At 39.0% G+C, this 19949-nt stretch overlaps 1 protein-coding gene across 56 annotated transcripts in view; it reads right to left on the bottom strand.

Annotated features, from left to right (window-relative positions):
- Positions 1–19949, bottom strand: part of NRXN3 (neurexin 3) — a 1697919-nt gene that overhangs the window by 366325 nt on the left and 1311645 nt on the right. The gene's annotated exons all lie outside the window — the stretch shown is intronic.

Genomic DNA, 19949 nt, shown 5'->3' with positions numbered 1-19949 from the left:
TACATCTTTTTTTAAAAAGTAACAGAAGTGGCTTTTCCAAATAAATTCTTAATATAATTTCAATATCCCAATCAGATAAAAATATAACTAGGGGAAGCCCCACCTCTGTCCTTCCTCTCCGACATCCACCCCTATCACAGTAGCCTTCCCAGCATTTTAACTGAACCTAGGGTCTCAGTTTTAGAGTCCCTGACCTCGTCTAACATGCTTTTTTTTTTTTTCCTAGAGGGAAAACTAAAGCTCAAAGAGGAGGCTAATTTGGTTGTAGGAATCAGGGAATGGTGTCATAGGAAGAATGTAATAATTGGAACCAGGAGATTTAGTCCAAACTCTCACTGTAATTGACTATTTGACTTTGGCAAGTCCCTCAAGGGCCTTTGTTCCCTCATTTTTGTAGCTATCAGGCTGTGATGGAGGACTTCCAGTGGCCCTTCCATGCACAATATTTTAGAAATCTGTTGGTTTTCCTAACCCTTAGCTTATGCCAAAGTAAGCTTCATCAAGTGAATGATTCCAATGCCTCAGAGGTCAGGTTGGTGACAGCTTAACTGATGATGCATAGTGGTAATATCAGAAAAGGGGAAGATGTACGCTTAATAATAAAAACAGAACAAGATCTTCATCACAGAATACCTCACATGGATCTCGGTCTCTCATAGTAGAAGCGGGGGAGGGAGGGGGCAATGGAAATGTTCAGTGTGGGATTTGCTGGGAGCATCTTAATCAAAGCTTAATTAAAGAAAGAGACCCAGGCATTAACCCAGTCTGGAAAGCATCGGACAGACATACAAACAATTCATTGAATATTATTCATACAAAGCTCCCCAAACTTCGCCTGATAATCAAATCCCCTGGAGTTTTTATGAACTATACAGATCCCTAGGCCTGTTGGAACTTTTGATTTAGTAGGTCTGTGGCATATTTTTCTCAGGTGCCACAGTTGGTCTAATGATCAGGCAAGTATGAGAAATGTTGTGTTGGTAGAAACCCTATCTCTTATTATTTATGAAAAAAAGAGACCAACATAACTTATGTATTAGTCATGTTGTTAATCAAAGCTATTGGTGATTGCTGACAGATACAATAAAACTGCCAATGGCTTTACCTAAGGTCATATTAAGAGAAGTTTCCCTTTGTAACTGAAGTTCACAGATGGTGTATATTTAGTTCTAGGATATATGTACTTTTAATATCTTCTCTGCCATTTGACTGCATCTGATTGACCTCACTGCAACCCACAGAGGAGGCAGATTTAGAAGCAAACCAGTATGACAGGGAAATAGCCCAATTATGCCAAGCCTTGATGTTCTCTTAGCAAAGCAGATACATGCAGCATACTAAGACACAAACGAAAGTGGGAGGTACTGGGTGAGTATTGTTAGATGGGAAAGATGAAAGGACAGCAATTATTCTAATCATCTATGGAGAGGTTGCAGTAATGCTTCCTATAGTTGACAAGTGATGCATAATAGTTAATAATTTTAACTGGTCTTTACAAAATATTTCTGGAATAGAAACTAACTTTTCTTGGGCTAATGAAAAGTATTCATCATTCCCTGATTAAACAGTAGCCAGCCCAGTCTTTTTCAGTATCCCTCGCTCAAGATGAAGGAGAAGAACAGGGATTACCAGAGGCTCAGTGTCTAACTTTGAATGGTATCTGTTTTATTTGGGTAAATGATCATTAGTCTCTGTATCATTTCCTATGGGTTTTTTTTTTTTTTTTTTTTGCCTTCTTTTTCTCCAGATCTCATTATGCTAAAACTCAGATTTAGGAAAACTGCCCATATGAGAAATTCATCTATCATGACTTAAAGATAAATGTCTGTAAAGTGACTTCCCATAAACAGAAACAGAAGCACCTTTCTTTGTATTCTCAAAACAATACGCACATAAGTCTAGATTTATAACCTTTACTAAAAAACCACAACACTTCTTACATTGCATTAGTTTATTTACTTTATTCGTCCTTTAACACACACACACACACACACACACACACACACACACGACCCTAAGATAACTGACAGAAAACCAAACACAGGGGGCCTAATATAAAGAAAGTCCTCACTACATGTCTGATGAGTGAAGAATGATGAAGGAATGAATGAACAAATGAACAAATAAATGAGTCAGTCCATATCATGACATTACCTTGTTCGTAGAAGCAAATTTTCTTTCGGTATTCTAGTCCCCTAGATTAGGGTGGCTGGTATGAAGGGAGATAGATGATCAAAATTGCACCGGTTATCATCTCTAATTTTCATCTAGATGTCACAAAAACATTCATTGCTCCAATCCTTTATTCCTTCATTCAGTGACTATTTATGAAGGGTTCACTATGAGCCAGGCACTGTTTTGGATACTGAAGTTATAGCAGTGATTTAAACAGTCACATTCCTTTTCCCCTTGATACTTTCATTCAAAAGTGAGGCAGATATTAAACATGTAAGCACATGGTAATTACAGACTAATACTGGACAGAATGAAGAGATGTGGGACAGTGTGACTGGTGGAGGGAGAGAGCTTACTAAGTTATGATGATCAAAAAGATCATTTTGAGGAGGTAACATCTGAGCTGACATCTCACTATGTATAAAACAAGGAAAAGTCAGCTCTGGTGCTGAAGGAAGAAGTCTCCCAGACAGAGAAAAGCTCAAAGCTAGAACAAACCAGGCATGTTTGACAAACAGCCCAGGGTGTGGTAGATGTGGAGGAAAGTGGTAGACGAGGAGGATGTTCTGGAGGGTATTGAGAGGTAGGATCAAACAGGGTCTTCAAAGCTTTGGTAATGCACTTAGATTGGATTGGTAATATAATATAAAGCTACATGAGGATTTTAATTGGGGGTGGTTGGTAATAAAGGCTGATTATATTTTTTAAAAAATACCATTCTGGCTTCTTTGAGGAGAAAAGATTGGCAGGGAGTGAGAGTGTCAGAGAAAACTAGAAAGAGGAATTCAAGACCACCCTGAGCAACATAGTGAGACCTCCATTTCTATAGAAAGAAAAAAGTTAACTGGGCATAATGGTGTGTGCCTGTAGTCCCAACTACTCAAGAGGCTGAGACAGGAGCATCACTTGACTCTAGGAGTTTGAGGCTGTAGTGAGCTATGATTGTGCCACTGCACTCCAGCATGGGACACAGAGCAAGACCCTGTCTCTTAAAAAATAATGAAATAAAAGATTGGAAACAAACATACCAGCTGGAAAGTGCTTGCAGCAATTCAGGTAAGAGATGACTCGAGTGGCTTCGAGTAGTAGAGATGGAAGTGAGGAGCATGGTATTGAGTTGCAGTGAGAAGTGGTCTAATTTTGAATGTATTCGGGAGGTAGATTCTATAGAACTTTGTATGAACAAACTGTGGGCATGAGGAAAGGGAGGTATGAGTTCTAAGTTTTTGGATCACACAACTGATGGATGTTGGAATTACTGAGACAAGGATCACTCTGTAAGGAGCAGGTTGGGGGATCAAGAATTCCATTTTGGACCTGATGCTTTTCAGATGCCTACTGGGTATCACAGTGGAAGCTCTTCACACGGGCAGTCTCACATGTGAGTCTCCCGCTCAGGTGAGTCAAGGCTGGCAATCTCAATCTGGAGTAAGCAGGAAAGAAATGATCATTTCATACACAAACCTTCCCCAAGGGATCCTCGATAATAGCATCTACCATGTATAAAAACCCAATGTGCAATAATAACACAGAAGTTAATAGTTCCCAGGAGTAAGTAGGTTTATGAGATGAATTAGTGACTAATGTTTAACTTTCATCTATTTTTAGCCCTTTTCTCATAGAACGCATGCTCATTATAGGAAACTTGGTAAAAGTGTATTTAAAATAGTATAATTCCGACGCTCAGATATAACTATTTTAAACACTTTGGAATATGTTCTTCCTGGTTTTTTTTGTTTGTTTGTTTGTTTGTTTTCTGAGACAGAATCTCGCTCTGTTGCCTAGGCTGGAGTGCAGTGGCATGATCTCGGCTCACCACAACCTCTGCATCCTGGGTTCAAGTGATTCTCTTGCCTCAGCCTTCCAAGTAGCTGGGACTACAGGGGCGCACCACTATGCCCAGTTAATTTTTGTATTTTAGTAGAGACGGGGTTTCACTATGTTGGCCAGGCTGGTCTCGAGCTCCTGACCTCGTGATCCACCCACCTCGGCCTCCCAAAGTGCTGGGATTACAGGCGTGAGCCACCGTGCCCAGCCTCATTCTGGCTTTTTAATTCACTAAATCTAAAAGTATATATTAAACTCAGATGTGGTCAGGTCCTATTTTAGGCATTGGAAATTCAGTGACAAACAATATTTAAAAAGTCACTAACCCCTGGGAGCCTGTGTTCTAGTGTGGGGAGGCAGACACACAAACCAACAAAAACCCAAGTAAAAAGAAATTAATAGTATTGCTAATGGTAAAATCTGTGGGAAAAAGTAAGGCAGGGTAAGGGAGAAGGAACTGCAGGGAGGTGGGATAAGGAAGAAAGGCAGATAAAATAGAATGAGCTAGGGAAGTCTTCATTAATAAGGTAACATTTGGAGGGAGGTGGGAAAGGATTGAGTGGAAGGGCCATACAACGGTATCTGGGATGGGACACTCAGGTCAACAAGAGCAAAGGCTCTGAGGTAGAAACAAGATCAACCTGTCTGGAGGATAGTAAAGAGGCCAGAATGGTTCATGGGGGATTATGGTTCCTTTGTTCACGAACAAAGGAGTGAGGATAAATCATTCTGTTTACGTTCTGGCTTCATCACCAGCAGCATAGGCAACATGGTTAATTGTACCTCTTCTTGGTCCCAGGACAGTGAACTACTGTATATTGAAATCTTCTCTGGAATACTAAGGTTAGAGTTAAGAACCCAAGGTCCGGACCAGGTTTAAGCTCTGCTCTGCCACTTATCACACATATAAGCTTGGAAAAGTTACTGTAGTCTTCCAGGCCTGTTGGCTCCCCTCTCACCTAGTCCCAACTTTGTGGGGTTATGGTGGAGTGAGTAAATGGATTAATACCCGCAGAGGGTTTAGAACAAGTGTTTAGCATCTGGCAAAGGCTCAATTCATATCCACTGCTATTACTAATGCCGTTGAAATGCCCTCTCCCATGCTGGGCTGTAACTCCCTGAGGACTTCATCTGCTTTTGGGTCTCCAGGACCTAGCCCAAGGCCTGACAAGGGTTTGGTGCTGAGGAAGTGTTAGTTGAACTAATCTGAATTCTACGTGGAGCCACATAGTCAATCTAGTAAACAAACTTACTATCACAGTTTTACCTCTAATTTTAACTCGCTCCAAAATCAACATTTAGATTAAGGAACACTGCTCATTAGGCCCATCAATCTAAACACACTATAATTATAGCAAAGGCTGTATCACCCAGTGTTCTGTAATTGGGACTCCTATTCACTAGCACTTTTCCATATTCTTACAATGATCACTGATGTTCATAATGACAGCCCTGCGGCAAAATCCTTCCAATTCACCAAGAATGACTACACTGTGTTCTATCTTGCTGAGGGCACTTCACTGTATTTTTGGTCTCTGAAAATATCTAATCCCTGGATAGTATCCAGGGGGAATCTATTTTCACCACAGATCAGATTTTTTGGAGCATGACACTCTTTGATCAGATCAGACAACTGCTCTTACTGCGCTAGTAACTAGATGACCATGGATTTACAGCTCACAGTTGTCGTGTGTGTGTGTGTGTGTGTCTGTGTGTGTGTGTGTGTGAGAGAGAGAGAGAGAGAGAGAGAATTAAGTTCAAATTAGGCCTGTAAAGGGAATTATTATCTGATTTTTTTCCTTTCCCTTTCTTTTGTCAGCAGAAAACTTTGTAAATTAATCTACCAAAAGCACTCCTCCTTCCAGAACACTGGATTACGAACATCATTTCCTTCCCTTCTTAAACCCAAAATTAGTGCAAGGTAACAAAACCCCAACATTGCTCAATGTTTGCCCTCAAGTGTTTAAGTTTCTGTTGACTGGATTTTTTGTTTTTTTGTTTTTTGTTTTTTTTTTTTAGCACTTGACTACTCGATAGAGATGACACCTTTTAAACATAAAATAAATACCATCGACTTTGATCACTGGGTTTATGGCTTTTTCTCAAGATGCTAATTTAATCTAGGGTGGAAATGGAATAACACCATCATTGTAAAGGTCTTCATAAAATATATAAATTATTTATCAAAAATACTATTACCTAAATAAAAAAGATTTTGGAAGATTATTCAATTACTAGCTGTGCAACTTTGAGCAATTTTCCTATCTATTGTGTATTTCAGTTTTCTTATCTGTAAAATAGTATTAATAATCAGTCCTACATCACAGGGTTGTTGTAAGGATTAAATGTAAAATGCTTAGAAGAACAGTGCCTGACATGTAATAAGCGCTCAATAAATGTTAGCCATTATTCATATAATTTGCCCCTGAATTTACATACTTTAACAGGGGTAATGGGTCTTTTGAGGGCCCTTTATATCATATGTAATTAGGATTCTGGATTGATAGAGATGTGGACTTTCAAAAAGAAAAAAAAAATGTAGAAAGAAAGAAGAGTTCCCAACTGCAGCTGCTGCATCTCCCTGTTCCTGCTTTGAGAACCTGAATTCAGAACTCTGACTAGGCATGGCATCCTTGTACCTAAGGGATAAAGGAAGCTGTGTCAATTCTGTTCTTTTTTCAACACATTTACCTTTGAAGTGGAAGTGGTGCTTCTTTTTCTTTAGTGGGAGCGATCTCAGTTGCTTGGTAACAAAGCAGAATCAATGACAAGGCTGGCCTTGGTGGCCTGCGCACATGCTATACCCTGGCCCTCCAGCCTCAGGAACAGTCCTAGACTACTGTGTCTGCTTGCAGATTTTTAAAATAATGAGCCCAAAGTAGTAAAATATCCAATGCATAAATTAGAGTTAGTAGCCAAGAAAGAGACTGACGCCCAAGTTCAGTGGAGAAAGGAAAGATAGAAAGGACGGTATTGATCTGACAAATATACGTTTAGATAATTCTTTCAATTAAAAAGTATTTGTAGATTATCACAAATTAGAAGAAACTAAGGAGACAGGACAGCTACATAAAATGTGGTATCCTGGATTGGATTCTGACACATACAAAGGACAGTAGTGGAAAAACTGGGATTATCTGAGCAAATTGTATTGTACAGATGTTAATTTCTTAGTTTCAAACCATGTATCACGGTTACATAATATTTTAACGTTAGTGGAAGCTCAGTGAAGGGTTTAAAGAAACTATATAATCTTTACAACTTTTCTGCAAATCTAAAATTATTTCACGATAAAAAGTTTAAAAAACTATATTTCTGGATGAAATATATATCAGACTACATATATAAACTGACCCTCAATAAAAGGGCAACTGCAACCCCTGTTTTTGCTATATTTTAAAAGTAGTACCCTTTTTGGTCCCTTGCATAAAAGATGCATCTTAATGACGTTTCATGCAAGGCTGGTAAGAAAGACGGTGTTGGAGGATGACCATGTTTAATGAAACTGCAACTCACTTTTCACCTCTTTTGCTTTCTGTGTATAACCAGTTTTCAAGTTTCTAGGAGATTATTTGAAATTTTCACGTAATAGAAATAGTCTTCCCAGAGTTACTGACCCCCTTTAGGAGTCAGAGTTTCTGAAAATGTAGCCATTTCTCAGAAGAAACAGGAGGCTAATGAAGAAAGTCTAATCCATTAGGGTAGACAGTGATTATTCATTTTTATGTTAGGAGGCAAATCTCTTGATATCATAAAGAAAGGGTTTTGTTTGGTTTTAATGATCTATATCTGTAGGTATACCATTTCAAGCTCAAATATAGTCAAATTTCAATAAACTGGTGAGAGAATTAGTACCAAGCACCAACTATACATTTAATGCATACTTGTTAAGATTTCAATTAAAATACACTTTTTATACATTCATTCAAGAAACATTGATGGAACACCTACCATGTATACAAGGATGGGCAAGAAGACTAGGACCCTATATTCAAGGAACTTAAAGTCTGACAGAGAGATCTGGAGAAGTAAGCAAATTGGAACAAATTGGTCGCTACTGTGACAGCCTTTGTCATTCAGTATACAGCAGAACCTTTGTAAAGTTAATATAGACCTTGTGAAAACCTTTGTTCAAACATAATGCTAATACTTGTCTTATAATATTAACCTGAGTAATGATATACTCTGTGTAACCAAATTGCATGGGAATTTCAAGGTACGAAGAGGCTTTGGGTTGACATTCCCAAACTGCCTTCCTATATATTATTAATGGATGGTGTAGTCACTTTTTACAGTCCCAGAAAGCACAGTAGATCATAGTTGGAATAAAATCCATACCTATTCATCCCGTGATAGAGTGTATTTCAGACTACATTTGTAAACTAGCTTTAAGATGACTTCAGTCACTATGCTTTTTTTCTATATGTTTGACTCTTTTCTAACTACCCAGCTATGCTGGAAGGCATACCTCATTTGTTCAAATATTTTTGGATGCTTGCCCAGTAGAAGATTCCAGGATGCATCTATCAAGGAGACACTGTCACCACTGTAGCTCCTGTAGGCACTGTTCTGGGCTAAAGCCCTTCTGTAAATCTCTAAATGGATTCTGAATGTATGGCTTTCAAGCTTTCAGATTCTATTTTCTTGCTTTGAATTGTCTGTTGTACTCATTAATTACCTTTTGTGGAGGGGGAAGAAAAGAAATCTCTCTCAATTTCCCTAAAGCCCCAGCACTTTCTTAGGATTCACCAAGAAAAGCAATTAACGTTTTGTGTGGTATTGATCTGTCTGGACATTGCCTCCCAGTGGATCATCCATTTAGTCCTAGAATTTAAAAATCTTCACAATGCCAACTTCTGTGTCCCAACTTGAATTAATGTCGATTCCTCATGTGCTGGCACCCCACCATTGATCCAGTTCAATATCACATTGGGCTATCTCACACTGGCATTTTACACATGAAGGTAAATACTTTGCTGTTCCTGTTGGGCATGTTTTTGGCATTTCTTCATTTGACATCATTTAAGACACTATACATTTACTAGCCAATGAATCTCCAACATTAAAACATGCTTTCTGGAAGGAAACAGGTGAGATGCTTGAGTAGATCACGGTAGAATTGACGATGTCAGAGTATTTCCAATGCATGATTGATAGAAGTGAGTCAAGAGTATCTGGCCGTGGAAAGTCAAAAGTAATCTTCTGAGACTTTACATAATTCACCATACCAATAAGGTTCTTTGAAAATTTCATTGATAAATGTATTCTAGAAAATGATACATTAGCCAGGCATGGTGGCTAACCCCTGTAATCCCAGCACTTTGGGAGGACAAGGCAGGTGGATCATTGAGGTCTGGAGTTCGAGACCATCCTGGCCAACACGGCGAAAACCCATCTTTACTAAAGGTACAAAAGTTAGCTGGGCATGGTAGCACGTGCCTGTAATCCCAGCTACTCAAGAGGCTAAGGCAGGAGAATCACTTGAACCTGGGTGACAGGGGTTGTGGTAAGGCGAGATGGCGCCACTGCACTCCAGCCTGGGCAACAGAGTGAGACCCTGCCCCCATCCCCCGCCCACCAAAAAAAAAAGATTGATACGTTAGCACTAAAACTGAATACCTTGCAAAGTAACTTTGAAAAGACAGCACTGGAGAATAGGGACCTATTGACAAATTTAATTTTTTCCTTGACTTACTGATACATATAATTATGTTTAGGGTGATTTTTCTAGCTAATCAACTATTTTTCTCAGTATTAAAATTTAAACTTCAATTTTAATTAATTTTTTTGGAGTTTATATATCCACTAACTCAAGAGTTGAGAAATCTGGATATTCATTCTGAGTTGGCCAAGCAAATTTAACAGTAACAAAAAAAGAGCAGTACCTTCCTGATGTGGGCTTTCTAGTTCAGTATGTGCACTAACAACTTATAGACATTCATCTACGAGAAAGCAGGAAGGTGCTCACTTAATATTGGTCTGAGTCACAATTATGATTTGTAATTGCCAGTTGGTTATGTTTGTCAGAGAATTGTCTCCTTAGGAGAGACACTTGTAACTTCAAAATGAATTTTTTAAATAGCAAAACAAATTTTAAGAAGCAATATTTAAACAGAAGAAGATTCTTCTTAATGTTTATATATACTGTAACTGAATTTACTATTTACTTCATACAAAGGAGATTGCCCTGCCTAAACCAAATTACATATTCTGTAGAAAGTCTTGCCACTAGTCCATCATGCTCATTGGCATTTGGAGATAGATTCATTCTCTCTCTCTCTCTCTCTTTCTCTCACACACACACACACACTTTTTTATTTTAGGGTGAAAAGTAGCCATTTCTTTTTTGTTTTTGCTTTTTTTTGAGACGAAAAATGTCATTTCTTTACAGGGTACATTAGTGCCTCTTTGGAAAAATGTTGAGGGTCTACTAGTAAGATAAAAGTCTCAAGATTTTACCAACTAAGCACTAATGGTTTCCCCAGAATGTACCTGGATTTTTCTCTTGTTAGTAAAGGTAGAAATCATTTAAGACATGTGAATGGAGAAGCTGATAAGACAATCTCTTGGTTTCATCTTATCACTTTTCACTCTAGTGGCTAGTATGACGTAGGGGTGCCATAGAATAGAAAAACATGGAGGCTGAGTAATTCACTGAGCAGATTGTGTAGGCATCAGGACATCCCAGTTAGGAGAAAGAACCTGGGCTTGGGCTCCAGGCAAAATGGATTCAAATTTTGCCTCAGCTACTTGTGAGCAGCAAGCATGGTGGCAAGTCACTTAACCTCACTAAATTTTGGATTCTGACTTGAAAAATCAGGATAATAGTTCCTACCTTTGCAATCTTTGACGGATTTACAAGAGAAAAAACAGAACAAAACACACACACGCACATACTCACATACATATACACCCTGGCACTCAGTCAGTGCTTGAGAAGTAATAGTTATTTTTTGCAACAAAATAGCCACTTCGTTTGAAGGATGTTTTTATTCATTTTTTTTAAATTTGTGGGTACATAGTAGGTGTATATATTTATGAAGTATGTGAGATGTTTTGATACAGGCATGCAATGTGCAATAATCACATCATGAAGAATGCAGTATCCATCCCCTCAAACATTTATCCATTGAGTTGCAAACAATCCAATTATACTCTTTACTTTAAAATGTACAGATGAGTTATTATCGACTACAGTCACCCTGTTGTGCTACCAGATAAGTTTTATTCATTCCTTCTATTTTTTTTTTAATACTCATTAACCACCCCCACCTCCCCCAACCCCCACTTCCCTTCCCAGCCTCTGGTAACCATCCTTCTATTCTCTATGCCCATGAGTTCAATTGTTTTGATTTTCAGATCCCACAAATATGTAAGAACGTATGATATTTGTCTCTCTGTGCTTGGCTTATTTCACTTAACATAATGTTCTCTAGTTCCAGCCATATGATTGCAAATGACTGGATCTTATTCTTTTTTTATGACTGAATAGTACTCCATTGTGTATATGTACCACATTTTTTCTATCCATTCATCTGTTAATGGACACTTAGGTTGCTTCCATTCATTAGCTATTGTGAAAAGTGCTGCAACAAACATAGGACTGCAGATATCTCTTTGATATACTGATTTTCTTTCTTTTGGGTATTTACCCAGCAGTGGGATTGATAGATCATATGGTAGCTCAATTTTTTAGTTTTTGAGGAACCTCCAAACTGTTCTCTATAGTGATTGTACTAATTTACATTCCAACCAACAGTGTTCAGTGGTTCCCTTTTCTCCATGTTATCACCAGCATTTGTTATTGCCTATCTTTGGGTATAAGCCTGTTTTTATTCTCATAGAATATTTGAATTGAGTTTGTACCTCACTTGGAGCTTTCTAATGAAAGAGAAATTACCAGATTTTTTTTTTTTTTTTTTTTTTGAGATGGAGTATTGCTCTGTCCCCCACGCTGGAGTGCAGTGGCGTGATCTCGGCTCACTGCAAGCTCTGCCTCCCAGGTTCACGCCATTCTCCTGCCTCAGCCTCCCGAGTAGCTGGGACTACAGGTGCCTGCCACCATGCCCGGCTAATTTTTTGTATTTTTAGTAGAGGTGGAGTTTCAACGTGTTAGCCAGGATGGTCTTGATCTCCTGAGCTCGTGATCCGCCCATCTCAGCCTCCCAAAGTGCTGGGACTACAGGTGTGAGCCACCACGCCCGGCCGAAATTACCAGATATTTGCAGGGGTATCTATTTGCTTCTGGTGAAGGGTTTTCTTCCCTTCCAGGTTAATTATCGCCTATACTCCAACTCATTTCCATAGATGTTCACATTTGTGATCAATTATGTAAAATATAATAAAGAGGAAATCCAAGAAGGGCTTTACATAAACAAGATTCTGAAAGGAGGTCCTTCATGCTTATTCTAGGCTATCCTTTGAGTGAAACGAGCCCGGTGTCTGTAGTAGGTGGTTCCATACTAATGCAAATGCTCAATTACTTGGTATACCTGTGCAAACTCCACAAAGATTTTTTCCTTCTCAGTCAGGAGCAAGGTGTGCCTTGAGGCCCACCCGACTGGATTGGTGTGCCATTGGCACCAATTCAGGAGCACAGGAAACACATTATAAATCCTCGGAGAATCACCTCCTCTATGTGGTTCATCATATGAGCAGGTAGGAAAGCATGAGAGGAGAAAATATGAGCCATGAAAGCACTGAGGCTGAAGACATGCCTTGGAGAGAAAAAGGTGTAGACACCTGTAAAGAATATTATTTAATCTTGGTGCAAGCAGATAGGCCAACACAACTCAGCTTCTAAATTGGACATTGTTATTTAACAATCCTATATATTTGATGCATTCTCTTTCATTATGGTCACTTTTCCAAAATAATGACAGGCTACTATGTGCCAAACATGATGTTATGCACACTGCATATGTGATCATATTTAATTTTCATAACATGCCTGCAAGATATAGATTATAACCCTAAAGTACTGATGGGTAAGGTATGGGCATCTATCTGCTTAAGGGTGCTCTAGGAGGAAAAAAGATAGAGCTAGGTTGAAACCCAAGTTGTTCTGACTCCGAGATCAAGACAACATTGAAAAGATGCCTTGTTGACTTATTTTGGGATCCCCCAAAGAGATCATTCTAAAAATCTTATACTTTCTTCAAGTCCCTAAATCTACCCCTGCCCCTGTTGATTGATGAGCTTAAAACTTTCTTTACTGAGAAGTTTAAGACACCTAGATATGAATTTTCTTTAATTTCCTCCTCAGAGTTTCTGGTCAATGACCCAATTCTTGCATTCTTTCTTACTCCATAGGAAGAGCTCCAAATCATCACCAGCATCAAGTTATCACCATCATTTGTTGTGGTGGTGATGACATTAAGCCGTCTACTGTTTTTCTCTCACCCTTCCCTGCCTTCTTCTGCCCCAGCTTGGTTAATTTTATCCACTTCTGCTCCCATGCGTTGTCAATTTCTGCCTTTGTACTGGCTCCTTCTTTTGCTTCAAAATATTCTTATATTTCCTTTATCGTCAGAACACACACACACTCTTGTTGCCACCCTACTACCTTGGAAGAAGAAGTATTTGAGTTGCAATCTCTTGTGATAAGTAAGACATATGTAGCTCCCATTTTTCTTATATAAAAAAACTGTCACAAGTTAAGTGACTCTTCATCAAGACCCTATAGCTCTATGATGGCAGAACTAGAAATGAAACTCAGGTCTTCTGATCCTCAGCTCAGAACACTCTTTCTCTATTCAAACCAATTGCCAATCAATGTCCATGGGTGACCATTTTTGAGATGACCTCTTTTAGGTAAGGTCACTGCAGCAAATTCTACTTCACTTTTGTCTCTGGAGCATGGAGCTTGCCTCATATGTGTAACACAGCTGCTAGCCCTTGGTGCTCGGGGGCCTGCTTATGATCAGTGAAGTATCTCTAATTATCACATCTCTCCTGTAATCTGTCCTCCCAGGTATGAAGGCCCATTAATAACCCTCTGGGGAAGGGAGGCAGTATCCCAGATGCAGTCCTGTTGCATGATGAGCTCTGTGATACAAAGTTCCCAAAATCAGAGCTAACATGCAATCTAATGTGTTGTAACACTCATTGTTTCTCAGCCTCTCACAATACACAACCAGCCAGCCAGCTCCTTATCATTTAATAACACTCCCTGATACCGAAAGCTGGAGAAAATGGAAGCACTCCAAGGGAGTGGGAAAAGCTAGTGAGGTGCAGAAGCTACTAAGGTTGTAACACAGGCTCTCACACAACTGAGAATTCAGACAGATGGACAGTTACCCCTGTAACCCTGCAGCTGCCATTATCCTCAGGCTGGGTAGACTTCTGGAGGGATAGATCCCCCATGCAAAGAGAGGAGATGCTTTGCTTTGGGGAAACAGGAAGAAAAAGGAAACCATGGAATCTGTGTTCCCGCCCAGCTGCATAGGGTTTTGAGTAACAATTTTCATCTTGAAAGGAAATGCAGTTTGATACGAGACACTGAATTGGGAGTCTGTCCTGGCATTCAGCACTGATTTTGGCCCTAAACATGGGCCTCGGTGTCTGTTTTTGTAAAGCGGGTAGGAAAATGCCTTTCACCATGTAGCACATGGTGAAACATGTAGCACAAGAACATGTTACAAAATGAAATGCGATGCAGTGATATGAAGGACTGTGCTTTAAGCTTTTAGGAAGAATTAGAATAAAATAATAAAAATAGCTAACATATAAAGGGCCATTAGCGTGGGATCAGGCAGTGAGCCGAGTGCTTTACAGGTGTCATTTAATGCTCACATCAACCCCTATGGAACTTTTTTATCCCCAATTTCAACGGATGAGGAAACTGAGTCATAGATAAATAATTTGCCTAAAGTCTGCTATTCAGTGATAGGATCAGGATTTGAACCCAGGCAATCTGGCTGCAGAACCTTTGCTCTTCTTGCTGAAGAGGTTGGCTATTGAATCAGAAGCTTTGGATTTTATCTTGGGGTGTGTGTGTGTGGGAGAGAGAGAGAGAGAGAGAGAGAGAGAGAGAGAGAGAGAGAGAGAGAACCTGTAAAGAGAGTTTAATAGAAGGGACACAAAAGAGTAGAGATTACTTAGGCTAACAATATTTCACCTTTAAGACCACCGATTGGAAATTGATTCACCCTCTCCTTCTTCATCATTCATTCAGGACCTCAGTCCCCATTTTCCTGAGATTCCAGCTAAAACAGAACACTATGTATTTTCTGCATGTGTTGAAATCTGATAAATTAGAAGGCTGGCATTTTACACCCAGCTTTCTCATCATCCAACTCTGTAACCATAGGTAGGTAAGTCACTGCACCTCCATATCTTCATATCTAAAATGAGTGTCTGAACTAAATATTCGCTTATAGGCTCTGCAGTACATAACCATTGATACTGGGGTTCCTCCTGGGAACTGCTGAGGGTGGTGGCTCCGTTTGTCACCATGGTTTTCCCACCACAGCAGTGGTCTCCAAGTTGGGGTGGGCATCCACAGGGGTGCCAAGGTTGGTTCATGGGAACTTCAGGGAATAATACTGGGATATATATGTATCTAATCTTATCTTTTAAAATGCCTGATGTTTCTGTATGTGTGATAATATAAGCAATGTGTGTATTCTACATACATATATACATATTTTTAATTGGTGCAGAGTTAATTTTTTTCTAGTATGTATAGACAACCAAAAACATTTGGAGACCCTGGCACTAGGGAGTTAAATTGGGCCTTGGCTCTTTGCAGGGCCCTCAGAGGCTGTTACTCAATTTACTATATTGACAAAATGCAGAATGACCTGGACTAGAGCTTAAAGCTAGTAGCAAGATGGTTTACGTAGCAATTTGTTTTCTTCATTGTAAAATTAAATGTTTAATGATGTTTCTTAATTTTAAGCCACAAAGACAGGTCTGATAATATTAATAATAATAATAATAACAATAATACAGATTTAAGAGCTCATGTACTATGGAAAAAACCCATCTTATTACATAGCCATATTTGAAGCCTGGATTTGTAAAGAAAATCTTACTCTAAAGGACACGTTCAAGCATCTAATGGAAGCCAGAATTCTCTCTAAGAAAAATCATCATTTCCCCCTTAAGCTTCCAGGATTGCTCTAACAGTACGTTAAAATATATGAAAACATGTTGACAGTGCCCCGTTAGCTTTTTCTACCATTTTGTCTATTTTTCTGAGTCACAAAATAGATTAAGTTCAATTTCAAGGTAATCCTCTCCCTTGATTTCACTCTCTAAAATCTGATACTCACAGTAATACCTGGAATATGATGTGCTATTCTGACCTCCCTAGTTTAGGAAGGATATTAAAATATCAGAGAAGCTACACAGATAGGCACGCACACACACAAAAGGAGTGCTACAAAGGCTGGAAGATAAAAAATGTGAGGAGAAGTGGTAAGAGCTAAATTTATAAAGTCTGCCAAAGCAGTGACTCCAGGGGCCTTGATCACAGCCTATAAATACCTTCAAGGTAACAATATAATTGAAGGGAAAGAATTATTCATAGTCTCAGAAGGTGATATAACTTGAAGCAATGGCCTAAAGCAATGGAAGAAAAAAATTTAGCTGAAATTGTCAGGAGTTGGGGGGTGGTGGGGAGAAGAAATTCTTTACTCTCTTAAGGATGGAACAGGCAAAGCAATCCCTAGAGGAAGTATCTGAAGCATTTTGATACAGACAGCCCAAAGCCCTGGAGTAAAAAGTAAAGATTAAAAATTGTGTTCCTTAATATTCTTAACAGAATTCAGAGCTCTTAAATGCATCTCTGAAAGACTGCCCCCTTCAGAGAACTGCTAAGTAATCAGAGATTCATATAAAGACCCCTAATTAGAGAACAACCAAAAAAAATCACGACACATCAATATTGTAATATTATATATTAAAACATAGGAAACATGAACATTATAGGTAATGTATTTTAAGAATAATAACCAACTTTTCTCAGAAAATAAAATATTCATCAATAAATTACAATTCTATGCTTAATATGAAAGATTTTAAAAGAACACAAAAAATAAGTCGAGCTACTGAGTCAAAATCATTCAATGTGTTATGCTATATAGCAAATTATATGTACGAAAGATCTGAATATGTGGGCCCCAGATGTTTCTGAGCAGGCAAATATATTCCTTTAAGATACTAATGTAAAAGTCAACTTCTAACCTCTTCTAAACTAAATACCTAAAATAGCTGTGACTTTGAAAACGTTCCAGAGTGCTGTTTACATATAATATGTGAAGGTATGACCCCAAATTGTGAACACAAGTTCTGTGTGAGAGGAAGCACAAAATCAAATGTCTCCAGGGGTCAGGCAGATGGATGAAGCTGAGTGAGGTGACAGGGAGTGGTGGAGATTGGGGGGCTTAAAAGAATATCCATAAAAATGGCAATGGCTCCTCAGCTCCAGTTGACCAATGCTATGAATAACACTGGCCCAGTAGAGTTAAACCTTCCGATTTTCAAAAAGAAACTAGAAATATCAACTTGTATATGAAATATCTGCATTTAAAAATATATTTGTGCGTTGGAGGAGGTTTAAAGAATACCAGCTGGGCACGTTTTCTAAAGCCCTTATATTGACAAGGGGAAGGCAAGAAGCACCCTGTACTCTAAGATCAGGAACCAGGAAGGGAATGATTGGAATCCAGTAGATGAAGTGAGTTAACTTCTGTATGCAAATCACCAAACATCCAAAAGAGAGAAGAAAGAAAAGCCTTTGTTTCTGCTCTTTTCTCCCAGGAATGTAGGAAGGAAGGATGTGCTGGGGCAATGGGAATGACTCTATTTTAGATGCTCTCATGCCGCTGCCCTGCATATGCTCAGGAATCTCCATGTACTGATCCGGTTCGTGACCAGTGGGGACAGCAGAGCTGGCTCAATGGGAACAACAGAAAGTCTCCCTAGGAGGAAATCGAACCTTGAACTACCATGAAGATAAAAGGAAGCAGAACAGTGACTTCCATATGGACACCCACAGTGACTTAGGGTTTATTTCCAGATGGTAGAGTGTGAATAGGAGTGGCTGTGTTTTCAAATTTTAGCAATTCAATGTCCAAATTTATAAGATGGCCCTTGGCGGTTAGCTGTAGAGTTTGAGTGCACAGAACAGTGTTGCTCTGTTTAGGTTTTTTAAAACACACACACACACCCACCCACACACACACACGCATCATTTCCCACTGTGTGAAATGAACTGCTCTGTGTGGACCCTGTGATCTTGGCATCTGCAGCATAAAGATGTCACAGTGCACACAAAGCCTTCTGACCAACCACATCCACACAAATACATCCTTGGGAGTCACTATGACTCACAATGTGACAATATCAGCTTTTCTCTTGCAGAGAGTCACTGGAGCTCAGACTGCATGCCTCAAAGAGAAATTTGATCTTCCTGCTAGAGTTAGGGTTTATACCATAGGAGAATTCTTTGTTAATATACTGTTTATACCAAACACCTCACCTCAAGCAATCCTCCTGCCTTGGCCTCCCAAAGTGCTGGGACACCACTGGCCTAATTTATACCAAACACTTTTTAACAAAGAAGCAATTCATGGAAACACAGGCAGAATATTCCTATCATGCCGTCTATGTTCTCTTATATCCATTATGTAATGTGGTGTTTTTTATTCTTTTTATCAAAAATTAATAGTCATTTCTAAGAAGAGAGCTAATGCTAAGTTCCCAGTTCCAGAACAGTATCTGTGATGATAAGGTAAATACACAAATTTGGATGAGACACATCTAACTGCTCTTTGGAGAACCATTACAAAATATCATTCTTTGAATCTCTGCAAAGACCTAGCTTAAATAAAAGATTGAGATTTAGAGAAACAAAATAAAAAGACTTCTATAGTTTTCCCCTAGAGCTGACTTACTGTGTCTGTTTCAGTCCAATGTTTGCATGTGTTTAATGTGCACACACAGCTTGAAAAAGGAAGCGAATACTCTGTGTTTTGCAGTGTTTGGGTGTGAATCAAAGGGAACATGTGGTTCCATTCTGTTTCTTCTAGCATTCAGTTAAGTAAAGGGAAAAACCTCATTTGTACTAATACTGTTACCATAAGGGGTGATCTTGTAAATAACTGGGGGTAGGAAGGAAAGTGTTAGGGCAATAGGCAGTCATCCAGTCTAGGCAGGATTGCAAAGTCTTTACCAAAAATGGTGCAGTCTTTCCACCAGAGAGGGTGGGTTTTCATTTGGTTGATTTGTTTTCTTTGGTTTGTTTGGTTGTTTTTGGTTGTTTTTTTTTCTCCCCCCCAGGTTAGTGGTGTTTAGGTGTTTTTAGCAATTTGTTGTCTGTGAAATGTAGATGGATGTTCAGAAGGAATTCTGCACAATTTCAAAATGAAATAATAGAAATGGCCATAGTCATTTCAAGAAAAAAGAAACTAGAATCGAGGGTGAAGATGCTATTTTTTTGTTATTTTCTTTTGGTGTTGAAAACAAACTATAGTGGTTGTCAGGGTGGTAGAAATAGAACCAGATAGCGAGAGAGCTCTCTGTGCTTTTTTGATTACAGTCATGAGCAACACAGTGACATTTTGGTTAATGATAGACTGAGTATGTGAAGGTGGTCCTGAAACTGCTGTTGCAAAATATATAACAGTGAGAAAATTATGACAGTGAAAGAGACCTGATCTAACCAATTCCATCTTGCCCTAACCTCCAAACTTCTTTGACCTTGGTCATTCCTGGGCATGGGCCAAGCTAACTTTGGGAGAAATTTAGTTTAGAGTTTAAATGATAATAACCATTCACAAAAACTAAACTGCTTTGTAAAACTAATGAAAGCCACCAGGTTAAGAGGATGAGAGACACCTGAATTATGCTAAGATGCAGGCAGAGTTAAATAATTACCAACCATTATTCCGGAGGTCACAAGATTTGCAACTTTCCCACTTACTCCTATAATGAACATC

Source organism: Homo sapiens, chromosome 14 (genome assembly GCF_000001405.40).
Source record: "Homo sapiens chromosome 14, GRCh38.p14 Primary Assembly".
Lineage (NCBI taxonomy): Eukaryota > Metazoa > Chordata > Mammalia > Primates > Hominidae > Homo > Homo sapiens.
The sequence above is the reverse complement of the archived record's forward strand: the minus strand, read 5'-3'. Positions and strand labels throughout refer to the sequence as shown.